Source organism: Homo sapiens, chromosome 12, assembly GCF_000001405.40.
Source record: "Homo sapiens chromosome 12, GRCh38.p14 Primary Assembly".
In the NCBI taxonomy this organism is placed as follows: domain Eukaryota; kingdom Metazoa; phylum Chordata; class Mammalia; order Primates; family Hominidae; genus Homo; species Homo sapiens.
Genome location: NC_000012.12, coordinates 79,843,229 through 79,869,917, shown reverse-complemented (window position 1 = coordinate 79,869,917; position 26,689 = coordinate 79,843,229). Strand labels below are relative to the sequence as shown.

General features: G+C 37.9%; 1 protein-coding gene across 5 annotated transcripts in view; it reads left to right on the top strand.

Annotated features, from left to right (window-relative positions):
• PPP1R12A (protein phosphatase 1 regulatory subunit 12A) overlaps positions 1-26,689 on the top strand; it is a 161,898-nt gene that overhangs the window by 65,543 nt on the left and 69,666 nt on the right. For all 5 annotated transcript variants that reach the window (NM_001244992.1, NM_001244990.2, NM_001143885.2 and 2 more), the window contains one exon: positions 24,498-24,616. In NM_001244992.1, coding sequence (NP_001231921.1) covers positions 24,498-24,616 — 119 coding nt within the window. The remainder of the gene's footprint in view (positions 1-24,497; positions 24,617-26,689) is intronic.

The following is a 26,689-nucleotide window of genomic DNA, read 5'->3' as shown; positions in this document are numbered from 1 at the left end:
TAATAATAATAATAGAGACAATAGTTATAACCCAGGGGGTAAGAAACTGGGGCATATGGTCACTGTGGTAACTGAAGTATTTTGGAGTTAAATTTGTTGCAAATCCTAGTTCTGCCATTCACTAGCTTTGTGTGCTTGACCAATCTACTTAGTCTCAGTAATTTAAGATTATTTATAAAATTGGAAAGATCTAGTTTCTTCCTAAGTCTTTTTTCTCATATTGCATTCCACTTCACATTTTTCACTCTGTCAATACTGGACTACTTTTAGTTCCCCAACATTCCCTACTGGTTTACATCAGTGTGCCTTTCTTCGTAATAGTTTATTTGCCTGCTGTTGCATTACTTGAGCAGCTTCTACCAGACTCTCAAGATGCAGTTTGTATAAGGGTCATTTCTTCCAGGAAGAGTTTCTGATGTTCTTGGCAAATTCATCATCATCTCTAACACATCAGTTGTTTGTGTATATGCTTCTTTACTAACTGCATTTATGCACTGAATAGTAGTAATTCATCCCTATTGATATGTGCAGTTAAGCCTAGATTAGTTTACTCTGAGGATTTGAGGATGATTAGGATACATTGAGTTCTAAATTTTTAACCTCTGTTGGAAATAGTAGAACAAAGAATGTCAGATTACAGTATCATTTCTAGGCATTTAACAATTTTACATTTGGTCTGTAGCGTAATAGAAGCCAAGTGAATAGGTAGATGAATGATGGCTCTTCATACACTGGCTCAATTATCTCACCTTTTCACCAAAATAATTACCCTCAACTTTTGCTTATTCTTAACAAGGTAGAAGTCCTAGGGTAAACTAAAAATAGAGGTTGTTTAGTAATGTCCTTTCTCCAGAATGGAATGGAGGACAAATAAATGAAGTGAGTTTGTGGAGCCTGATTTTATGCTCAGCATATGCATTGTTTTAATAAATACTCACTGCCTTGACTTTTTCATTCTTAAGAATGTTACTACTTTGATTAACATGTTTTAAAAATTATGCAGTCAATAAATATGTAAGCACTTACTATATATATCAGGTCAGGTACTAAAATGTATGCATTAACATCATTCTTTTCCTTTGGGGTGCTGAATCAGTATTATGGGCAGAATAGTGTCACCCAAAATTCTTACTTGAAACCCTAACCTTCAGTACTTCAGAATGTGACTCTATTTGGAGAAGCGGCCTCTAAAGGGATGATTAAGTTAAAATGAGGCTGATGGAGTTGTTTCTCATCCAGTCTGGCTGGTTTTCTTATAAGAGGAAGACATTGGGACAAAAAAGAGACACCAGGGCCCCTCTCATAGACAGGAAAGAAACCATGTGAAGAAACAAGAAGGCAGCCATCTACCAACCAAGGAGAGAGGCCTATGAAGAAACCAAAGCTGCTAACACATTGATCTTGGACTTCTAGGCACCAGAACTGTGAGAAAATAATATTTCTATTGTTTAAGCCACCCAGTGTGTGGCATTTTATTATGGTAGTCCTAGCAAACTAATATAAGCAGTATAAACTTTCCACTATCACATCAAGGCATACTCTTCCTTAAAAATTACAGTGTTAATGTCATTGGCTATGGATCAAAAATGAAATGGAACAGTATGACTTTGGACATACTAGAAAAGGCAAATGATTTTAGAGCCCAAGAACCCATGTATGCAATTTATTGTTCCAATCTTGAATTATCAATTCATTATACATCTGTGGCATAAATTATAATTGAATTACTGTGTGCAAAGCATTGAAAACCAAGTTCTCTGACTGAAGAAATAATTAGATGAAAACATAGGAACTATACAATGGTAACATTTTAATTGTCATTCTTTTTTATTTATTAGTTGGAATATTTTTGTAAAAGAAACTTTCTCATCTCTACTATTTGGTTACCCTTTGTATTAGTCCATTCTCACGCTGTTGTAAAAAACTGCTCAAGACTGGGTAATTTATAAAGGAACAAGATTTAATTGACTCACAGTTCCACAGGGCTGGGGAGGCCTCAGGAAACTTACAATCATGGTGGAAGGGGAAGCAAACACATTCTTCTTCACATGGCGGCAGGAAGAAGTGCCAAGCAAAGGGGGGAAAGCCCTTTATAAAATCATCAGATCTCATGAGAACTCACTCACTGTCACAAGAACAGAAGCATAGGGGTAACCACCCCCAGGATTCAATTACCTCCCTCTGGGTTCCTCCTACAACACGTGGCGATTATGGAAACTACAATTCAAGATGAGATTTGGGTAAGGACACAGCCAAACCATATTACCTCAGTACAATTTTTATAGGGGAGACAGAATATATTCTTTATTATTTCTCCTTATGTACTGGCTTTTTAAATAATGAATTTCCTTGCTATCTACCTTCAGTAGGGACTAATTTTTTTTTTTCTAGTTTAAGTAATATTAGGAGCTCATGCATTTGAACATATTTTCTATTTTATTTTATTTGTATTATACTTTTAAGTTCTGGGTTACATGTGCAGAACGTACAGTTTTGTTACATAGGAATACAGATGCCATGATGGTGTGCCACACCCATCAACCCATCACCTACATTGGGTATTTCTCCTAATGTTATCCTTCCCCTGACCCCCCACCCCCCACAGACCCTGGTGTGTGATGTTCCCATCCCTGTGTCCATGTGTTCTTATTGTTCAATTCCCACTTATGAGTGAGAACATGCGGTGTTTGGTTTTCTGATCTTGTGATAGTTTGCTGAGAATGGTAGTTTCCAGCTTCATCCATGTCCCTGAAAGGACATGAACTCATCCTTTTTTATGGCTGCACAATATTCCATGGTGTATATGTGCCACGTTTGCTTAACCCAGTCTGTCATTGATGGGCATTTTGGTTGGTTGCAAGTGTTTTTCTATTGTGAATAGTGCTGCAATAAACATATGTGTACCTGTGTCTTTATTGCAGGATGATTTATAATCCTTTGGGTATCTACCCAGTAATGAGATTGCTGGGTTAAATGATATTTCTGGTTCTAGATCCTTGCGGAATCGCCACACTGTCTTCCATAATGGTTGAACTAATTTACACTCCCACCAACAGTGTAAAAGCATTCCTGTTTTTCCACAACCTCTCCAGCATCTGTTGTTTCCTAACTTTTTAATGATCGCCATTCTAACTGGCGTGAGATGGTATCTCATTGTGGTTTTGATTTGCATTTCTCTAATGACCAGTGATGATGAGCATTTTTTCATATGTCTGTTGGCTGCATAAATGTCTTCTTTTGAGAAGTGGCTGTTCATATCCTTTGCCCATTTTTTGATGGGGTTGTTTGCTTTTTTCTTGTAAATTTAAGTTCTTTGTAGATTCTGGGTATTAGCCCTTTGTCAGATGGATAGATTGCAAAAATTTTCTCCGATTCTGTAGGTTGTCTGTTTACTCTGATGATAGTTTCTTTTGCTGTGCAGAATATCTTTAGTTGAATTAGATCCCATTTGTCAATTTTGGCTTTTGTTGCCATTGCTTTTGGTGTTTTAGTCATGAAGTCTTTGCCCATGCCTATGTCCTGAATGGTATTGCCCAGGTTTTCTTCTAGAATTTTAATGGTTTTTAGGTCTTACGTTTAAGTCTTTGATCCATCTTGAGTTGATTTTTGTATAAGTTGTAAAGAAGTGGTCTAGTTTCAGTTTTCTGCATATGGCTAGCCAGTTTTCCCAACACCATTTATTAAATAGGGAATCTTTTTCCCCATTGCTTGTGTGTGTCAGGTTTGTCAAAGATCAGATGTTGATAGATGTGTGGTGTTATTTCTGAGGCCTCTGTTCTGTTCCATTGGTCTGTATATCTGTTTTGGTACCAGTACCATGCTGTTTTGGTTACTGTAGCCTTCTAGTAAAGTTTGGAAGTCAGGTAGTGTGATGCTTCCAGCTTTGTTCTTCTTGCCCAGGATTGTCTTGGCTATGCCGGCTCTTTTTTGGTTCCATATGAAGTTTAAAGTAGTTTTTTCCAATTCTGTGAAGAAACTCAGTGGTAGCTTGATGGGGGTAGCATTGAATCTATAAGTTACTTTGGGTAGTAAGGCCATTTTCACGATATTGATTCTTTCTGTCCATGAGCATGGAATGTTTTTCCATTTGTTTGTGTCCTCTCTTATTTCCTTGAGCAGTGGTTTGTAGTTCTCCTTGAAGAGGTCCTTCACATCGCTTATAAGTTGTATTCCTAGGTGTTTTATTCTCTTAGTAGCAATTGTGAATGGGAGTTCACTCATGATCTGGCTCTCTGTTTGTCTGTTTTGGTGTATAGGGATGCTTGTGATTTTTGTACATTGATTTTGTATCCTGAGAATTTGCTGAAGTTGCTTATCAGTTTAAGGAGATTTGGGGCTGAGACGATGGGGTTTTGTAAATATACAATCTTATCATCTGTAAACAGAGACAATTTGACTTCCTCTCTTCCTATTTGAATACGTTTTATTGCTTTCTCTTGCCTGATTGCCCTGGCCAGAACTTCCAATACTATGTTGAAAAGGAGTGACGAGAGAGGGGATCCTTGTCTTGTGGCGGTTTTCAAATGGAATGCTTCCAGTTTTTGCCCATTCAATACGATATTGGCTGTGGGTTTGTCATAAATAGCTTTTATTATTTTGAGATACGTTCCATCGATACCTAGTTTATTGAGAGTTTTTAGCATGAAAGGCTGTTGAATTTTATCGAAGGCCTTTTCTGCATCTGTTGAGATAATCATGTGGTTTTTGTTGTTGGTTCTGTTTATGTGATGGATTACGTTTATTAATTTGCGTATGTTGAACCAGCCTTGCATCCCAGGGCTGAAGCCGACTTGATCGTGGTGGATAAGCTTTTTGACGTGCTGCTGAATTCGGTTTGCCAGGATTTTATTGAGGATTTTCACATCGATGTTCATCAGGAATATTGGCCTAAAATTCTCTTTTTTTGTTGTGTCTCTGCCAGGCTTTGGTATCAAGATGATTCTGGCCTCATAAAATGAGTTAGGGAGGATTGCCTCTTTTTCTGTTGATCAGAATAGTTTCAGAAGGAATGGTACCAGCTCTTCTTTGTACCTCTGGTAGAATTCGGCTGTGAATCCATCTGGTCCTGGACTTTTTTTGGTTGGTAGGCTATTATTGCCTCAATTTCAGAACCTGTTATTGTCCTGTTCAGAGATTTAACTTCTTCCTAGTTTAATCTTGGAAGGGTGTATGTGTCGAGGAATTTATCCATTTCTTCTAGATTTTCTAGTTTATTTGCATAGAAGTGTTTATAGTATTCTCTGATGGTAGTTTGTATTTCTATGGGATTGGTGGTGATGACCACTTCATCATTTTTTATTGTGTCTATTGGATTCTTCTCTCTTTATTAGTCTTGCTAGCTGTCTATCTATTTTGTTGATCTTTTCAAAAAGCCATTGATTTTTTTGAAGGGTTTTTTTTCTGTCTCTGTCTTCTTCAGTTCTGCTCTGATCTTAGTTATTGCTTGTCTTCTGCTAGCTTTTGAATTTGTTTGCTCTTGTTTCTCTAGTTCTTTTAATTGTGATATTAGGGTGTCAGTTTTAGATCACTCCTGCTTTCTCTTGTGGGCATTTAGTGCTATAAATTTCCCTGTATACACTGCTTTAAATGTGTCCTAGAGATTCTGGTACGTTGTGTCTTTGTTTTCATTGGTTTCAAAGAACATCTTTATCTCTGCCTTCATTTCGTTATTTACCCAGTAGTTACTCAGGAGCAGGTTGTTCAGTTTCCATGTAGTTGTGTGGTTTTGAGTGAGTTTCTTAATCCTGAGTTCTAATTTGATTGCACTGTGGTCTGAGAGACAGTTTGTTGTGATTTCTGTTCTTTTACATTTGCTGAGAAGTGTTTTACTTCCAATTATGTGGTCAGTTTTAGAATAAGGGCCATGTGGTGCTGAGAAGAATGTATATTCTGATGATTTGGGGTGGAGAGTTCTGTAGATGTCTATTCGGTCTTCTTGGTCCAGAGCTGAGTTCAAGTCCTGGATATCCTTGTTAATTTTCTGTCTCGTTGATCCATTTAATATTGACAGTGGGGTATTAAAGTCTCCCACTATTATTGTGTGGAAGTCTAAGTCTCTTCGTAGGTCTCTAAGAACTTGCTTTATGTATCTGGGTGCTCCTGTATTGGGTGCATACATATTTAAGATAGTTAGCTCTTCTTGTTGAATTGATCCCTTTACCATTATGTAATGGCCTTCTTTGTCTCTTTTGATCTTTGTTGGTTTAAAGTCTGTTTTATCAGAGACCAGGATTGCAACCCCTGCTCTTTTTTTTTTTTTTTTTTTTTTTTTTTGCTTTCAATTTGCTTGGTAGATCTTCCTCCATCCCTCTATTTTGAGCCTATATGTGTCTTTGCACATGAGATGGGTCTCCTGAATACAGCACACTGATTGGTCTTGAGTCTTTATCCAATTTGCCAGTCTGTGTCCTTTAAGTGGGGCATTTAGCCCATTTACATTTAAGGTTAATATTGTTAGGTGTGAATTCGATCCTGTCATTATGATGCCAGCTGGTTATTTTGCCCATTAATTGATGCAGTTTCTTCATAGTGTCGATGGTATTTACAATTTGGCATGTTTTTGCAGTGGCTGGTACCAGTTGTACCTTTCCATGTTTAGTGCTTCCTTCAGGAGCTCTTGTAAGGCAGACATGGTGGTGACAAAATCTCTCAGCATTTGCTTGTCTGTAAAGGATTTTATTTCTCCTTCACTTATGAAGCTTAGTTTGGCTGGATATGAAATTCTGGGTTGAAAATTCTTTTCTTTAAGAATGTTGAATATCGGCCCCCACTCTCTTCTGGCTTCTAGGGTTTCTGCCAAGAGATCTGCTGTTAGTCTGATGGTTACCCTTTGTGGGTAACCCAGCCTTTCTCTCTGGCTGCCCTTAACATTTTTTCCTTCATTTCAACTTTGGTGAACCTGACAATTGTGTGTCTTGGGGTTGCTCTTCTCGAGGAGTATCTTTGTGGTGTTCTCTGTATTTCCTGAATTTGAATGTTGGCCTGCCTTGCTAGGTTGGGGAAGTTCTCCTGGATAATATCCTGCAGAGTGTTTTCCAACTTGGTTCCATTCTCCCCGTCACTTTCAGGTATACCAATCAAACATTGATTTCGTTTTTTCACATAGTCCCATATTTCTTGGAGGCTTTATTCATTTCTTTTTACTGTTTTTTCTCTAAACTTCTCTTTTTCCTTTATTTCATTAATTTGATCTTCCATCACTGATATCATTTCTTCTGCCTGATCGAATTGGCTATTGAAGCTTGTGTATGCTTCATGAAGTTCTCGTACTGTGGTTTTCAGCTCCATCAGGTCATTTAGCTCTTCTCTACACTGGTTATTCTAGCTAGTCATTTGTCTAACCTTTTTTCAAGGTTTTTAGCTTTCTTGCTATGGGTTAGAACATGCTCTTTTAGCTCGGAGAAGTTTGTTATTACCGACCTTCTGAAGCTGACTTCTGTCACTTTGTCGAACTCATTCTCTGCCCAGTTTTGTTCCCTTGCTGGTGAGGAGTTGTGTTCCTTTGGAGGAGTAGAGGTGCTCTGGTTTTTAGAATTTTCAGCCTTTCTGCTCTGGTTTTTCCCCATCTTTGTGGTTTTATCTACCTTTGGTCTTTAACGTTGGTGACCTACAGATGGGGTTTTGGTGTGGATGTCCTTTTTGTTGATATTGATACTATTCCTTTTTGTTTGTTAGTTTTCCTTCTAACAGGCCCCTCAGATGCAGGTCTGTTGGAGTTTGCTGGAGGTCCACTCCAGACCCTGTTTGCCTGGGCATCACCAATGGAGGCTGCAGAACAGCAAATATTGCTGCCTGATCCTTCCTCTAGAAGCTTTGTCCTAGAAGGGCACCCCCCTGTATGAGGTGTCTGTTTTCTTCTGCTGGGAGGTGTCTCCCAGCCAGGCTGCACAGGGGTCGGGGACCCTGTTGAGTAGGCAGTCTGTCCGTTTACAGAGATTGAATGCTGTGCTGGGAGAGCCACTGCTCTCTTCAGAGCTGTTAGGCACAGACGTTTAAGTCTGGAGAAGCTGTCTGCTGTCTTTTGTTCCAATATGCCCTGCCCCCAGAGTGGATTCAAGAGAGTCAGTAGGCCTTGCTGAGCTCTGCCCAGTTCTAGCTTCCCTGCCACTTTGTTTACACTGTGAGCCTAGAACCACCTACTCAAGCCCAGCAATGGCAGATGCCCTTTCCCCCCGCCAAGCTCCCACATTGCAGGTTGATCTCAGACTGCTGTGCTAGCAGTGAGCAAGGGCGTGAGACCCGCCGAGCCAAGCACGGGAGGGGATCTTTTGGTCTGCTGGTTGCAAAGACCATGGGAGAAGTGCAGTATTTGGGCAGGAGTATACTGCTCCTCCAGGTACGGTCACTCACGGCTTCCCTTGGCTAGGAAAGGGAAATCCCATGACCCCTTGCGCTTCCCAGGTGAGGCAACACCCCGCCCTGCTTCAGCTCGCCCTCTGCGGGCTGCACCCACTGTCCAACCAGTCCCAATGAGATGAAGCAGGTACCTCAGTTGGAAATGCAGAAATCACCCGTCTTCTGCATCGATCTTGCTGGGAGCTGCAGACCAGAACTGTTCCTATTTGGACATCTTGGAAGTAACTCCCGTTTGAACATATTGATGTGTTTCAGTCCACTGCAGCTATTATCCTTATCAGTTGGCAAATTGAACCATCTTTGGTCATTGAGAGGCTCTTGAAGTTGGCTTCCTAAGACCTTGGGACATGACCAAATAAAGTAGTCTTTAAAAGTTTCCTTACTCTTTGGTATTGCAAGATTTTCCAGACTAATCTTTTATATTCCTGCCCAAGGCCTGGAGTCCTCATTTCTCCAAGAAACCCTGTTCCTTAGGATGGCTACTGAGAGTGCTCATTACTATTGGGTTGGTCATTGTTTCCAGGTCGAAATCAGCACCAAAGTGTTTTTTTCTTTAACTTCTTCTAACCTGTGTCACTGTCTTTCCTCTCATACATTGCTGGGAAGCACAGGATTAAAGTAACACGTAATTACTAATTTGCTTCATCATGTATTACACATACGTTACACTGAGTATAATAATGCCGCCACCACCACCACCACCAGTATGATTACTGAAATCATTCAAAGTTTTGTTTTTGAGGGTTTTGTTTTGTTGGCATTTCTTTTTGTCCTTAGTATATTCAACTTGGAATATACCATCAGGTTACTATGTGTTGAATTCACTTGAGTTTACTTTTTAAAATTTTAATTTTGTTTTATAATTTACGTAAAATACTAGTTCCAGTGGCAATACCTCCTCTACCACCATATTTCATCCCATACCCTATAAAAAAAGTTTAAAAAACTATCTTCTAGTTTGCTAATAAAAGTATTATTTTTATTGAAGTATTAATCCCCCCATCTTTTGTAATAAATGATAGAATATCACACACGTATTTCTCCACTTTGCTTTTTTCACTTAACAGTCTATTCTGGAGATCACTATCTAGTGGAGTGTAGAGATACTCGTCATTGTTCTTTTCAGTTGTAGTACTCCACTGTGTAGTATTCATTATAGTTTATCATTTATTCAGTGTGTCCCTCTTAATTGACCAATGAATGTTGGTTAATTGAATGACTATAATTTTAGTCTTAGAGTTGTCCCTTATTTTTGTATTATTGCAAGTTATAGGAATTTTTATGTTTATAAAATATTTTGTATATGAATAAGAAAATGGAATGATTAACATTTTGGTTTCTGGTGTAATTATTTGGATATAATCTTTTCTGTTATTTAATTTTGCCACCACATTTGTTTTTTAGGCTTCCACTACAAATACTTAAGGCATGCTTTTATCTTGAATAGCTTTAGTGTTCAGTTTTCCAATCTAAGAGGGAAATTAGCCCTGTATTAGCCTAGCATTATATGGCTTCACAGTTCATGGAGTAGACTATTAATTGGTGCACTTAACGCATTTTTCTTCTTGTTTAGAGTGATTTTATAGACATTGCTGTTGGAGATTTCATATCCTATTATAAAATGCTCATAGAATTTTGTTGGTTTGTTTGAGACAGCGTCTTGCTCTGTCGCCCAGGCTGGAGTGCAGTGGGATGATCATAACACACCGCAGCCTGGACTTCCTGGGCTTAAGCAATCCTCCTGCCTCAGCAGCGGTAGCTAGGACTGTAGACTTGCACCACTGCTTCTAGCTAATTTTTTTATTTTTATTTTTTATTTTTGTAGAGACAGAGTCTCGCTGTGTTTTCCGGGGTGGTCTCAAACTCCTGACCTCAAGTGATTCTTCTGCTTCGGCCTCCTTAAGTGTTGGGATTATAGGAATCAACCATGAGGCCTGGCCCAGTGACATTTTCAGCATAGAAAAAAATTCATTAGCTTTGTCACTTGATCATTAAAGAATTAGCTATTTAAGGATATAACTTTGAAATATGTGTGGCGACTTACTTATGGCTTGGCTTTTCTTCTGCATTATAGCCTTTATTTTATAAACATCCAACAGAATCCTAAGATTTCTGTTGGCTCAGCTTTAAAATATATCCAGTATCTATTTCTCATTACCTTTTTCCATCTCTCTTTGATCCTGAGCACTGTTGTTTTTTTTTTTTTTTCTTTCTTTTTTTTTTTTAAAGACAGAGTCTCACCCTGTTGCCCAGGCTGGAGTGCAGTGGCACGATCTCGGCTCACTGCAGGCTCCACCTGCCAGGTTCATGCCATTCTCCTGCTTCTGCCTCCCGAGTAGCTGGGACTACAGGCACGTGCCACCATGCCCAGCTGATTTTTTTTGTATTTTTAGTAGAGGTGGGATTTCACCATGTTAGCCAGGATGGTCTCAATCTCCTGACCTTGTGATCTGCCCGCCTTGGCCTCCCACTGTTGTTTTTCACTGGAATTATTGCAGTTGCCTCCTTGTAGGCATAACTGTCATCTTTCCCACACCTATTTTTTTTCACAGTAGCCGCAGTGATCGTTTTAAATTATTTTGCGTTGTAGCCATAATGATCATTTTAAATTATTTTGTGTTGGGTAACATGACAGTTTTATTGAAAGCCTATCAGTGGATTTATGCTGCATTCAGGGTAGAAGCCAGAGTTCTGGTGGCCTACAGAGGTATGCTTTGGTGCCTTGTCACCTCTCTGACTCCATCCTCCACTCTTTTCTAGGCTTTGTGCTAAACCTACACTGGTCCCTTGGTTGAGCCTTTGAACAGACTAGGCATCTTGCCTCATGGCCTTTCCATCTATTTGCTGGTTCTTCTGTCTGGAATTCAATAATGCTGTTATTTTTGGTGCTTTGAAAACAGAAATTTCAGGAATTTCAGAAATTCTTGAACCTCACCTCCCCCCAGCAAGAAATATTATAGTATAGGAGTTAAGAGCTCAGGCTCAGGAGTTAGGCAACTCTGTTTAAATCTTAATTCTGTTAAGTAATTCTCGTCAACTTTGAATGAATTACCAGCTTCCCTAAGCCTCCATTTCTTTATCCATAAAATGGAAATATTAATACTTGTACCTAATTTATAAGATTGTGAAGATTAAATGAGATCATGTGTATAAGACACTTGGCACAATATGTGGCAAGTATTTCTATTCAGTAAATATTAACTGAATTAGTTGTTATTGTTTATAATATAATTTTTGGTTACCACTTTTCAGTGAAAAATAGGTAAGCTCTTGGGTTTCCCAGATTATTTAACAAAGGAAACTATCATTTTGTCTCTTGGTTTTAGGGCAAACTTATCTAGAAGAGAGGAGCAGAGGAGAATGAAGTAGTAATTTGTCATATTTTCATTCATATGTTGTTATGTGGGCCATAGGAAAGTTGGCAGATCCATGAATTTCAATTTTATTATATATTTCTTGTCAAGAATACTTTATTAGTACAAAGCATATCATGTATTTTGATTAGAAGTCTTAGAGAAATTAAGATCTTAGGAAAATATTAAAATTTTATTTGGGGTATTTATATCCTTGTATACTAATAATGAGATACATTTGCTGAAAGCTGTAGACGTTCCCATATACATTCTTACTTGGTTTTTCATGGAAATTTATGGGAATGTTCACTGTTATTCCTATTTCACAATCAGAACTGAACTCTCATTCTTGAGACGTAAATTCTGATGATTTTTTTCCATTATATCATAACTGATAGTAGCATTGGGCACTATGAGATTTGAAAATGACTGCAACATAGATTCTCATCTTCAGGCTTATAGATAGATACATGTGAAGTCAATTAACTCTAATACTTGGTAGACTAAATGGACCAGTATATAAGGAACTCTGAGGAAGAAGTGCTTAATTCTGTCTAGGCCAATTAAAGAAAGATTCTGGAGGAGGTAACATTCGTTTATTTTATTTTATTATTTTTTTATTATTATTTTTTATTATTATTATACTTTAAGTTCTAGGGTACATGTGCACAATGTGCAGGTTAGTTACATATGTATACATGCATTAACTCTTCATTAACTTGTCATTTAGCATTAGGTATATCTCCTAATGCTATCCCTCCCCCTTCCCCCCACCCCACAACAGTCCCCAGAGTGTGATGTTCCCCTTCCTGTGTCCATATGTTCTCATTGTTCAATTCCCATCTATGAGTGAGAACATGTGGTGTTTGGTTTTTTGTCCTTGCGATAGTTTACTGAGAATGATGATTTCCAATTTCATCCATGTCCCTACAAAGGACATGAACTCATCATTTTTTATGGCTGCATAGTATTCCATGGTGTATATGTGCCACATTTTCTTAATCCAGTCTATCATTGTTGGACATTTGGGTTGGTTCCAAGCCTTTGCTATTGTGAATAATGCCGCAATAAACATACGTGTGCATGTGTCTTTATAGCAGCATGATTTATAGTCCTTTGGGTATATACCCAGTAATGGGATGGCTGGAAAAGGATGAGCATAATTTTTGCCTCTGCGAGTTGGGAGCTGCCTGAGGAAAGTCATGTCATTCACAAATGAGAAATAATATATGATAAAGTTCTTTTAACTGGCTACCACTGTATTTATACTTACCATTTCTTTGTTAAAACTTATTGACTGATATCCATATGCCTAAACATTGCTGCTAATAGGCCACTTCTGCTAAGCTCACGGTTCTGTTTCCAACACTTGAATTGCAGACCTACCAAAAGTTATTTGTATGTGTTTTCTACCTGTTAATGCCTGTCATATGCAAAACCAGAATATTGTTGCTAAGATAACAAAGTTGAATACTTTGGAAAGACTCAATGGCAGTGCCCTAAAAGGATGGTTGTTTTTTAATTAGATGGGGGTGAGACAACTCAAAGACTGAAAGAAAAAAAGAACTAGAAGGATTGTGTACTCAAATTGCTTTGCTGTTGACTTCAAGTTTTTGGTTCACTCTAAAGACAGTTCGAAGTCTTAGATAACACATTACGGATATCATTTATGCAAGAAAGACAGCATGGATTTATAGTCATGAAGACATCATCCAAAGAAATAGACTAGTCTTCACTAAAGGATGGATAAATAAATATGCATTTATGTCTTGTATGATTAAATAAATGCATTATTTATGCATATGTGTTATATTTTATGATTACCTATTTCAGTCAGCCTATTTGGTTAACCAAGCAAATACTGGTTCTGATTGCATTAAACAGAAGGGCCTTATTGGAGCCATAATTTCTTGGAGAGAAGGCATTAGTGGAATATGGAGAGGGTAGCAGATAAGACTGGGCAAGTCAGCTGGGGTTACAACGTAAAGGATTTGTATGCCAGGCTGAGTTTGTCCTTTGATGGTGATGCAGTTTTAGGGAAGTGATGACCTTTCAGACTGTTTTTTTGGAAGATTCTTGACAAATTAGAGAGGTTGGGCAAGAAAACTAGGGCAGTGGCAGTGAGATTGGAAGTAGAGCAGATCTGAAAGAAATTTGGAGAATAGAATTGATAAGTCTTGGTGTGATTTACTGGATCTAAGTACTAAGGTAGGAAGAAAAATCAAAGGTGGTGCTAATGATGATAAATAGCTAACGTTTACCAAGTGCTTACTGTGTTTTTTTTTTTACTGTTCTAAGTCCTTTAGATAACATAATTTCAGTCATATAAAAATGTACTACTTCCCACAGGTCCTTATGCATAAACCTCCAAAACTGCAAAAAATGAAAACATAAATTTTAAGTTTGTTGTAGGCACATTTGGCAACAGATAATGACCTGCACTGATGGGAGGCTATTTGTAGTCTTTATCTCACTTAACTGTAAATGTGTGGTTTGTTTTTTTTTTGCAGAAATAATTTTGTGTTTGGTTATAGAGTGCTATCCCAGACCTGGTGGGAGTGTTACATAATCCATAATATTATCTTTCTAAAATATGAAAAACTTTTACTTTTCTTCTGCTGGTGGAAATGTAAATTAGATCAGCCATTGTGGAAAGCAATTTGGTGATTTCTCAAAACCTTAAAACAGTTACCATTTGACCCAGCAATCCCATTATTGGTTATATACCCACAGGAAAATAAATTTGTACCATAAAGATACATGCACATATATGTTCATCGCAGCACTATTCACAGTAACAAAGACATGAAATTTTCTTTGTTTGTTTTTCTCAGACCTCTTAGGGTGAAAAAAATATGAGCAATTTTGAAATTTGGGTGTAGGCGAGAGATAATAGACCTGTATTAATAATTATAATTTGGGGGCCAGGCGCGGTGGCTCACACATGTAATCCCAGCACTTTGGGAGGCTGAGGCGGGCGGATCACGAGGTCAGGAGATCAAGGCCATCCTGGCTAACACGGTGAAACCCCGTCTTTACTAAAAATACAAAAAATTAGCCGGGCGTGGTGGCAGGCGCCTGTAGTCCCAGCTACTCGGGAGGCTGAAGCAGGAGAATGGCATGAACCCGGGAGGCGGAGCTTACAGTGAGCGGAGATAGCGCCATTGCACTCCAGCCTGGGCGACAGAGCAAGGGTCCATCTCAAAATAATAATAATAATAATAATAATTGTTACTTGGTTGGGCACAATGGCCAACACCTATAATCCCAACACCTTGAGAGGCCTAGGTGGGAGGATTGCTTGAGGCCAAGAGTTATAGACCAGCTTCAGCAACATAGCTACCCCATCTCTACCAACAACAACAAAAAAATCAGCTGGGCCTGGTGGTGCATGCCAGTAGGCCTAGTTACTTGGGAGGCTGAGGTGGGAGGATCGTTTGAGCCCAGGAGTTTGAGGCTGCAGTAAACTATGATTGCACCTGTTCACTTCAGCCTGAGCCACAGAATGAGACTCCATCTCTAAAATTTAAAAAAGTCAAAAAAAAATAAAAATTATAGATGAAGAGACTGAGTCATAGAGAGAAATCACACAAAATATGTGTCAGAGTTAGGGTTTGAACCTACACAGTCTTAACTTTTCAAATGTGCATTTTAGATACTACACTATTCTGCCTCTCTTTCTAGCCTTTGTCATTGGGAAAATGATACCATTAAACTTATTAAGGGATCTAAAGAGCGGAATTAGGGGAAGCTGAAGAAGAGGGAGACAGTGTAGTAGAATATTAATTTAGATTGGTCTAATTTGAGCTATCAATGGAAAAAGTACAGTAGGAAGCCAGAAATATTTTGGATATATTTATAATGCACATACTGGATTTCATCAGATCTAAGGTGCCATTGTTGTAACATCATAAATACCGATTTTAAAAATTAAATAAAATTATGGTGCAGTATTTGTTTTTATCCCATAAATTTCCCCTGCCCCCCCGCCACACACACACAGTATCATTCTCTGTGCTGCTTAGAGTATATAACATTGCTTGCTTGGGATTTTCTTCTGCGTCACTGATAGGCATTCTGCAAGCTTTGATTTTGGCACTTTCTTGATCTTACCATAAAATATCAACATAAAGTTTTCAGACAACATCCAGAAGAAATTTTATGTAATAGTTAAGGTCAACAGATACGATTCCAACAACACACATAACTCAACTGAAGTGAAAACAATATGAATAGCTGTGACTGGTGTCACATGTGGATGATAATGACAACCCAGTCATGTCTGCCACCTGGCCAACATCAATTATACAAAGTCATTGATTTTAAGATTCATTGATTGTAAAAGATTTCAATGACATTAAAATGTGTAGGAAATGTGCATCTTAGAATTGTTAAACAATAAGTAGTACTTTTGCCTCTGAGAATTGGAAGTTGCAGTAATAAAGTAAGATGCTAAGGCATGTAAATGTTTTTAATAAATACATGGTTTTCAAGAGTTAATACATGATTGAAGAGGTTTAGAATCAATTCTCTAGGGAAAAATTGAGAGAAAGATTCTGTCTTGAGCATTTCCTATGTTTAAGAGTTACTTTATGAAGAAAATGTAAATACTTCCCCTGATTGTGAATTTATCTTTTATAAATGACAATCTAGGTGACCCATTTCACAAATAGATTAATTTCTCTCATAAGTGTTAGCTTGGTCTTTGTTACTGGTATAATTAATTGTACTATATGCTGAGTACAACTAAAAACTCTGAATATTATACGTAAAACACAAGAAGACTCTGAAAGGTGGAGAGAATAAGGCAGAGGAGCTAGGGATCTCAGGACCCAAATAATGACACTGCAGTAGTTCCCTGCCTTTTCTTTTAGCCTCATATATTCCATAATTAGAGCTAAAGAAGCTGATAACCCAGAAGTGCAATGGCCACAGACAAAGAAAGCGCCAGCAAAAGCCCAGTCTTTTAAATACTAGTAGAGGGACACCATAGCAAGACAGAAAACTTTTTGAGAATAACCATTCTACTTCAACCAAACACCACAGAAAAAAACATTGGTCACACTCATAGCTGCAAAGGCCAAGTAGGGATCCTAGATTTCCATCCTCACCAAGCTGTTATGAGGCACCCTAACACCTCCTCCACTGGAATTGTGTCAGATTAGGCCAGGTACAGAGTTGGGACTTTAATTCCCATAGAATGGTTAACTAGCCTTTCCCCAACTTGTAGTGTTACTGGAGACCATGTGGGAAGCTAAAACTTCTACGTTTATTTGGGAGTAAAGAGGAGCTTCTGTCCTTCCCTGCTAAGTGGCATCAGAGGAGTCCTATTGGAGAATGAATGCTTTCACCACTTCTAAGCAGTAAAAAAGCCTTTCTCTACCTATGCACCCCAACCCCCAGCACCCAGGGGTATTAGTAGAGGCTACATGGGAGCAGTAGCTTCTCAGCCAGAGACATGTCAGTGGAGGTGGAGTGGAGAGTCAGGATTCCCACCCAGCCCAGGGGAATCAAGAAGCTGCCCCATCTGTAGTGTAAATGGAGGACAAGTGGGGAACCTGAACATCTACCCCCAACTTGCCGAAATGAAATGGCACCTCACTATCTTCATCTGCTGGAGCAAAATCAAACAAAGCCAACTAACACAGAAAATTTAAGTAAGATCTAGAGTCTTATAATACCCAAAGTGTGCAGATTTTAATTAAAAATTGTCTGGCTGAGTGTGGTGACTCAAGACTGTAATCCTAGCACTTTGGGAAGCCAAGGTGGGTGGATCACCTGAGTCTAGGAGTTTGAGACCAGCCTGCGCAACATGGCGAAACCTCATCTCTACCAAAAAAAGAAAAAAAAAATTAGCCAGGCGTGATGGCACATGCCTATAATGCCAGCTACTCGGGAGGCTTAGGTGGGAGGATCACTTGAGCTGGGGAGGTCATGGCTGTAGTGAACTGTGATCATGCCACTGCACTCCAACCTGGGCAACAGAGTGAGACCCTGTCTCAAAAAAAAAAAAAAAGAAAGAAAAAGAAAAAATTGTCATACTAGGAACCTAGAAGATCTCAAATTGAGTGAAAAAAGACAATTAATAGAGATGAACACCAGGATAACAGATATTAAAATTATCTGACAAAGATTATAAAGCCAGCTATCTTAAAATGCTTCAACAAGCAATTATGAATGAGCATGCCTGAAACAAATGAAAAAATAGAAAGTCTTAGCAAAGAAATAAATAGAAGAACCAAATAGAAATTTTAGAGCTGAAAAATGCAGTAACTAAATTAAAAACTTCAATGGATGATAGGCTCAGTAGCAGAATGGAGGAAATAGAAGAATGACTCAGTAAACTGATAGAACAATACAAATTGCCAAATCTGAACAGCAGAGAGAAAATAGGCTAAAAATGAACAGAGCCTCAGGGACTGTAGCAAAAGAGCAAACATCTATGCCATCAGATCTCTCTGAAGAAGTGGAGAAAGAGGGCATGGCTGGAAAAGTATTAAAAGAAATGATCACTGAAAACTTTTCCCAAATTTGGCAAAAGACATAAACCTACAGATTTAAGAAACCTAGCAAACTCCTAACAGGGTAAACCAAAGCAGTCCACACCAAGACATGGCATATGCAGACTTTTGAAAATTGAAGATTAAAAAATCTTGAAAGAAATTAGAAACTATACCAGAGGGGGGATAAATAGTTTGAATGACAGCAGATTTCTCATCAGAAATCATGGAGACTACATGTCACATTTGTTAAGTACTGATAGAAAAGAACTGTTATTTTTAAGAAAACTTTCAAAGGTCTGAGGTCAGAACTTTTGTTTGGATTCATAATGTTACACAGTATCTTTCATTGGGATACAGAACTTTCAAAAGAAAATGGGAAAGTGCATTTCTACTAATGAGAAATAATCATAAGATTATTTACTATTTTGCATTTTGTTGCTCAGAGACTTGCTAATGAAAATAGCATTTATTTCTGAATAGTGTAATGTTCTGCTTAATCTTTGAATAGTTCAGATAGTTTAATTTTCATAATTTCTCCTAGGATGGCTTTGAGTAATTTTTTCAGATTTTCAAGAAGCATATAACTATTACAATGCTATTTTGCTGACTTTCTGATTTTTAAAACTTTGTATATTGGTTAAAATAACTTTTTAATACTACTTTTTCTACAATAATGTATTAGTCCAATCTTGCACTGCTATGAAGAACTACCTGAGACAGGGTAATTTATGAAGAAAAGAGGTATAATTGACTCACAGTTCCATAGGCTGTACAGGAAGCATGGCAGGGGAAGCCTCAGGAAACTTAGAATTATGGCAGAAGGCAAAGGGGAAGTGTGCACATCTTTGTATGGCCAGCAAGAAGAGAGAAAGAGAGCAAAGAGGGAGGTGCTCCACACTTTCAAACAGCCATATCTCGTGAGAACTCTGTCAGCACTAAGACAGCACTAAGAGGATGGTGCTAAACCATTAGAAACCACCCTCATGATCCAGTCACCTCCCACCAGGCCCCAGCTGCAACACTAAGAAATGCAATTCAGTATCAGATTTGGGTGGGGACATAGAGCCAAACCATATCAACTGAATAAGAAAATATACATTAAATTTGGACACTAAATATATTTAGCTCTTGCTGATAATTGCTTTCTTTGTCTCTCTTCACTAAGTTCTCATTAGCTTCTGGTTTAAAGACAAAGTTTTTCTTAAATTTTTTCTTAAAAGATGAAAATTTTTAAATAGCTATTTCCTTTTCTTAAATATTTGCTTCTGTGGTTTGGTTTTTGACAAAACTCAGAAGATAGTGGAGACTATCAAAATTTGTCTTCCAAAGTCAGTTAACCCAGAATCTCACCTGTTTATCTAATATACCATATTCACATTGCAACCAATAGCTTTGTTAACTTTATACCTTTTGTTAGATTTTCCAGTTAGCACATAAATAGTTTTGTAAAAATCCTTTTGGATCATGTCTTGATTTGGAAGCTTACTCATTTATCTATCTAAAATTATCAAATCAGAGTTTCTAGAGTATTATAAATCTCAATTAAATCTGTCAGATTACCATTTTTCATTTCTACAATTTGTTAAGAATTTAATGGTTGGGCCCGGTGGCTCACACCTGTAATCCCAAGGTGGGAGGATTGCATAATGCCAGGAGTTTGGGACCAGCCTGGGCCACAAAGGGAGACCCCATCCCTAAATTTTTTTTTTTTTAAATTTAGCTGGGTGTTGTAGTATGTTCTTGTATTCCTAGCAACTAGGGAGGCCGAGGCAGTTAGGATGGCTTGAGCCTAAGAGTTCAAGGTTACAATGAACTATGATTGCACTGCTGCATTCTAGCCTGGGCAACAGAATGAGACTGTCTCTTCAAAAATAAAGATAAAAAAGAATTTCATCCTGTACTAGGTGGCATCTCTTATGTTGACTACCTTTGATTTGCTTAAGGAAATTACTAAGTATTGTTAAGAAAATATAGGCCTGATTTTCTTTACCCTGAAGCACTCAATACGGTTGTTCATTTGAAAAGTAGCCCAGTCATCTAACTTTCAGTTTGGAACACCTGTGTGAAAATCTGTTTTTTTGTTTGTTTGTTTGTTTGTTTTCTTTCCAAGGAATCTTAGAATAACTATGGCATATTTTTCCTAATTAATAGCCACACAAGTAGCTTCTAATACCCCAGCTTTTGTTCTGAAGGAAATCTAGATGTCTGTTTTCAATATCTCCAGGGTCTTTCAAAGTGAAATTTTCATATTCCAGATAGCCTGTAGTTTGTTTAACATTATCTTAAACATTGCTTTCTTTCTTTTTTTTTTCCCCCCTTTGAAATGGAGTCTAGCCCTGTCACCCAGACTGGAATGCAGTGGCACAATCTCGGCTCACTACAACCTCTGCCTTCTGGGTTCAAGTGATTCTCCTGTCTTAGCCTCCAAGTAGCTGGGATTACAGGTGTGCACCACCACACCCAGCTAATTTTTTTGTATTTTTTTAGTAGAGTTGGGGTTTTGCTATGTTGGCCAGGCTGGTCTCGAACTTCTGACCTCAGATGATCTGCCCACCTTGGCCTACCAAAGTGAAACATTGCTTCCTAAATGTGATAATTTTGCATATGACAACAGATAGTACTTTAATTTTATTTTTAACTCATTTAAACCACATTGCCCAGTAAAGTTATTTTATAAATTAGATTTTAGTTAAGTTTTATATATATATAACTTATAACTAAATAATATATAACTACAATGTATTATACTCAACTATATCTTTGAATGTCACACAGGTGTCAACAGGCAGAGGTGGGAACTGAACCCGAAGTCTGCAGAGCATAAAAGTTTCTGCTTTTTTCACCCCTCCAACCTTTGAATTGCTTTTGGAGACTATTTATGGTAGATAAGAATTAATCCACCATAGGATTAATCAGTCCGTGAGATTTTGTTTATTATTATTTATTATTATTTTTTCAAATGTGCCTTTGTAACATTTACATTTGCAAGTAATAGTTCTAGAGTGCAGGAGAAGTTTGTGAATTGTGTGTTTGCATGCATAAGTACATACATACATATGTACATACACACGTACGTAATCTTTTGGCTCAAGGATTGCTTTGGGCGCTGCTTCCTGCCAGCAGTTTTGGTACTTTACTCTGTTAGTTTCTCTTAACATCCTTCCTGTTTATATAAATTCTGTATTGTCCGTATTTGGCTTTGACCTGGTATTTCCTTGAAACTCTGCTTTCTGTACTTCAAGCTGCAGCTAGTCTGAGATATTCCTTTTATTCTCAATCTTTGTATCCTTTGAATGATTTGTGATACCCAAGCAGAATAGATGTATTTTTATGTAAATATTCCTAATTGTTTGGAATTTTGCCTAGGAGAATAATTACATATTCTCTCAGAGCATAGCACAGCAAGACTCCACTATATCTTACCTTTCTGCTTTAGACTCATTTATTTATTTGTAGTATATGAGGAAATATTCTTTTTAGTTTTATATACATTTTCAAAACTATGAAAACAGGAAAAATTACCTCAAGTCTAACTTCTGTTTGTAGAATTTCCATAAAGATGATAAAACTTTTACAGCATATTTTTAAATTTAAAACATGAAACTACAAAATGATACAGTAGCCATTTTTGTGATCAGATACACATGTCCAGAACAAACTTATTACAGAAAACTTGGTTAACACACAAAACAACCAATACAAATCTCTCTTCCTCTATCTCTTAGAGGTACCCACTGTTAGAGGGAGGGTGTGTGTGTGTGTAAAAGATATAGAGATTGATCAGTTATTTCATTTATTCTAAGGAAAATGAACTGGGCCTCCATCTGGCTGTATATACTTCCTATCACAGGACTTTATTTTGTTCCTTCTCACCTACAGCACATTGCCCTTCTGTTCTCTTTTGTTAGCACCTACATAATCATCAGAGAATCCTTTTCTGACTTCACTAAATCCATTTTTCCTATTAATCCTAGACACTACCTTATTCTGTTACAGGACCTACCACAGCTTTACATTTATTTGTGTATTTAATCTGACTGTCTTACTAGACTATAAACTTTTTGAAGGGCAATTCTGTGTTTCTTTTTGTTTACCTTTATATTCCTGGTATGTAACATAGTGCCAGATGCATACTAGACACTCCATAAATATTGGTTGAATTAATGAATACGTTTGAAATACCAGCAAGGAATGTACATAAGCAGTTCATAAAAGGAGAAATACAAATGCCAGTAAATATATCTAAATATTTTCAGTCTCATGTGTAATCAGGAAATACAAATTAAAGCAATGACAACATGTTTTATCTTCATGATGTTGGGAAAATTTTTTAAAAATTGTGAATTTCAACTGTCTATTTAAGTGCACATCTATTAAGAGAATAATATTAAATGAAGGTATGAACCAGACATACTATGGAATATTTTTCAGGTGTTAGAAGGGAAGAGTTACATTATACTTCATTTAGAATAATCTCATTAATTTGTGCTTTACAAAAAGAACCCCAAAAGTGATGGTGTATATATGTTTACACACATATAAATTTATGGCAGAGGTACTGGAAAGATTTTTGCCCTACTGTTGATAGTGTTTATCTCTGGGGGAGGGAACATAATAGTAGGAGAGGAATAAAGGAGTTCCTTTTTCCCTCTGTGGACGTGTACTTTTTTTAAAAAACTATTTTATAATTAGAATATTTTTATATAGTCGAAGTATGAAGGAGCTAAATTGGTTAGGAACATAAAGGAAAAGACCCATTCTTTATATATGGAAAAATAAAACCAGGGATACCCAAATCAAATGGTTTAATTTAGAACTACAAGTAGTTCTATATTGTTGGTGCCTAAAGTGTGATGCCGGAAGAAGGAGGAGGCTGAAAAAGAAGACAAGGCCAGATCAGTGAGGGCTGTACATTATCTTTTCTCCTAGCATGGTAGAGCCATCGAAAAATTTTTTAAGTTAGAAATTGACTTGGGTAGGCCAGGCGTGGTGGCTCACTCCTGTAATCCCAGCACTTTGGGAGGCCGAGGCAGGCGGATCACGAGGTCAGGAGATTGAGACCACGGTGAAACCTCGTCTCTACTAAGAATACAAAAAAAAAAAAAAAAAATGAGCCACGCGCAGTGGCGGGTGCCTGTAGTCCCAGCTACTGGGGAGGCTGAGGCAGGAGAATGGCATGAACCTGGGAGGTGGAGCTTGCAGTGAGCAGAGATTACGCCGCTGCACTCCAGCCTGGGTGACAAAGCGAGACTCTGTCTCAAAAAAAACAGAGAGAAAAAAGAAATTGACTTGGGTAATAGATGGTTAGTTACATCGTTCAGTAGATGACTCTGGGAGATGTGCTGTTGACATGATTAAATAGATAAATAACCTTTTTGTATCTGAATACCTTTGGCAGGTTTGATGAAGCCTATAGATACTTTCTTAGAATTGTGTTTTGGATGCTTAAAATAAAATACAGAGTACACAGAAGCCAATTATATTGGAATGCACTTATCAAAATATTTAAAAAATATATTTGTAGTATAATTATCTGTCTGCTTCTTTAGTAAAATATTAAAAAGACCTAGTGGTGGGTTTAATAGCTAATTTTAAAATAATGATAAGCAATAATTTAATGTATCTGTGTTAATTGAATTTTTTATGAACCTTCTGAATTTTACCCATGAACCCCAGCTTAAGAACTCTTGTTTGCGGGATGAGATTGGGAGCGCAGAGACCAGTAAGGAAACCAGTCCATATGGAGATAATGAGAAGTCTCAGTGGAGGTGGATCCTATGAGACTTTCTAATTATTATTAAAAATTAACATTTTTGTATTGGTAAAGCAACGTGTGTACATTATAGAAAAATTAGGAAATATAAATTTAAAAAAGAAACATGCTCTAGATGGTTTTGTTTTTTGTTTTTTTGGCTTGATCTCAGCTCACTGCAAGCTCCACCTCCCGGGTTCTTGCCATTCTCCTGCCTCAGCCTCCTGAGTAGCTGGGACTACAGGCGCCCACCACCACGCCCGGCTAATTTTTTGTATTTTTAGTAGAGACAGGGTTTCACCGTGTTAGGATGGTCTTGATCTGACCTCGTGATCCGCCTGCCTTGGCCTCCCAAAGTGCTGGGATTACAGGCGTGAGCCACTGCGCCTGGCCTGATAGTTTTTTAAAATTTAAATAATGTATATACTGCCCTTTATTGCTGCTTTATATAGGAACTTTCCTCATTGGTTATGCATTTAGTTTTATTTCAATGATAATATCTTTTGCTTAACTATTTTTCCTTTGGTTTTACAGGTTTTTGATTGGTCAAGGAGCACATGTAGGGGCTGTCAACAGTGAAGGAGATACACCTTTAGATATTGCGGAGGAGGAGGCAATGGAAGAGCTACTTCAAAATGAAGTTAATCGGCAAGGTAAAATAAAAAGCAACCTAAATGGAAAAATGTTTTAGAAAGAATGTGATACTTTTCCAGCAAAAATATTTGTTGACATTGAAGGGCAATCATAATTTCATGAAAAAAATGAATTCAGCTTGCAAAACAATAGTACAGTATGTTTCTGTTTTCTAAAATATTCTCCACTCTATCTTTTAAGTATTTTTAAAGTTAAAAGAAATGTTAGAAGCAGCAGGATCAGGCATAAAATTATGTGGAAGTAAAAGTTTTGGAGCAAAATAAAGTAGGCAAAGGGGATAGAAAGTGCACAGGGTAAGTGGCACATTGCAAAGTTAAATAGTGTGGTCAAGAAGGCTCACTGATAAGGGGTCATTTAAGCTGAGATGTGAATACAATGAGGGAATGAGTCATGATGATCTGGGGAAAGAGCATTCCAGACAAGGGGAGCAATGAATACAAGAATGGGAGGTTGTCTTGTATATGCAGAGAAGCAGCTAGAGGCAGAGCAGAGGAAGAGGCAGGAAGGAGATGAGGTCACAGAAGTAGCAGGAGGTCATATCACCTTAAGGCCTTGTGAGCCATTGGGAAGACTTTGGCTTTTAACCTGAGTGAAATAGGAAGCCAATGGAGGGATTGAGGCAGAGGATTGACATGATTTGTTATACTTTTAGAAAGGATCTCTCTGGCTCTTGTGTTGAAAATAGATTGTAGGAAGACAAGGACAGAAGTAGGAGAAGGGTTAGGAAATAACTGACATAATCCAGACAAAATAAAGTGATTTATTTTTGACTGGTAGTAGATGAAGTGATGAGAAGAGATTGGATTATGGATATATTTTGAAGGTTTGGCCAAGAGGATTATTGAGTCATTAGCTAGAAGGTGTGAAAAAAAGAAGATTCTAAGATTTTTGGTTTGAACAAATGGATGGATGAAGTTCCTATCTGAGATGTGAAGATTGTAAGAAGAGTAGGTTTTATAGGGAAATATTAGGGCTTCATTTTCAGGCATGTTAAATTTGTTTTGCGTGTTAGATATCCAAACTGTTGAATATGCGAGTCTGCAGTTACAAAATGGATATGTAAATTTGGGAGGTGTTCATTTATAGATAACAGTGATTGCTAACGGGCACAGAGTTTCATTACTCAAGAGTGATGAGTATTCTAAAGTTGATTGTGGTGATGGTTACACCACTCCTCACATTTACTAAAAAAAAACCATTGAATTCTACACTTTAAATGCTATGTAAATGCTGTGAATTAGATCTTAATAAAGCTGTGTGTGTGTATATATATGTATGTATATATAAAATATGATCCAGCTTGGCAGCAGTGGCTCATGCCTGTAATCCCAGCACTTTGGGAGGCCAAGGCGGGCAGATCACGAGGTCAGGAGCTTGAGACCAGCCTGACCAACATGGTGAAACCCTGTCTCTACTAAAAATACAAAAATTAGCTGGGCGTGGTGGTGGGCGCCTGTAATCCCAGCTACTCAGAAGGCTGAGGGCAGGAGAATTGCTTGAACCCGGGAGGCGGAGGTCGCAGTGAGCTGAGATTGCACCACTGCACTCCAGCCTTGAGAACAGAGTGAGACTCCGTCTAAAAAAAAAAAAATGATCCAGCAACTCCTTTTCTAGAAATTTACCATATATCTATATCTATATCTATATCTATATCTATATCTATATCTATATCTATATCTATATCTATATTTTTTTTTGAGACAGAGTCTTGCTCTGTCACCCAGGCTGGAGTGCAGTGGCGCAATCTGGGTTCGCTGCAACCTTTGCAGTCTGGGTTCACTGCAACCTCTGCCTCTCGGGTTCAAGTGATTCTCCTTGCCTCAGCCTCCCGAGTAGCTGGGATTACAGGCGCCTGCCACCGTGCCTGGCTAATATTTTTGTATTTTTAGTAGAGATGGGGTTTTACCGTGTTGGCCAGGCTGGTCTCCACCTCCTGACTTCTGGTGATCCTCCTGCCTGGGCCTCCCAAAATGCTGGGATTACAGGCATGAGCCAGCACTCCCAGCCTACCCAAAAGAATTTAAAACAACTCAACTCTTTGAAATTGAATAATTTGTACAAACATGGGTGTA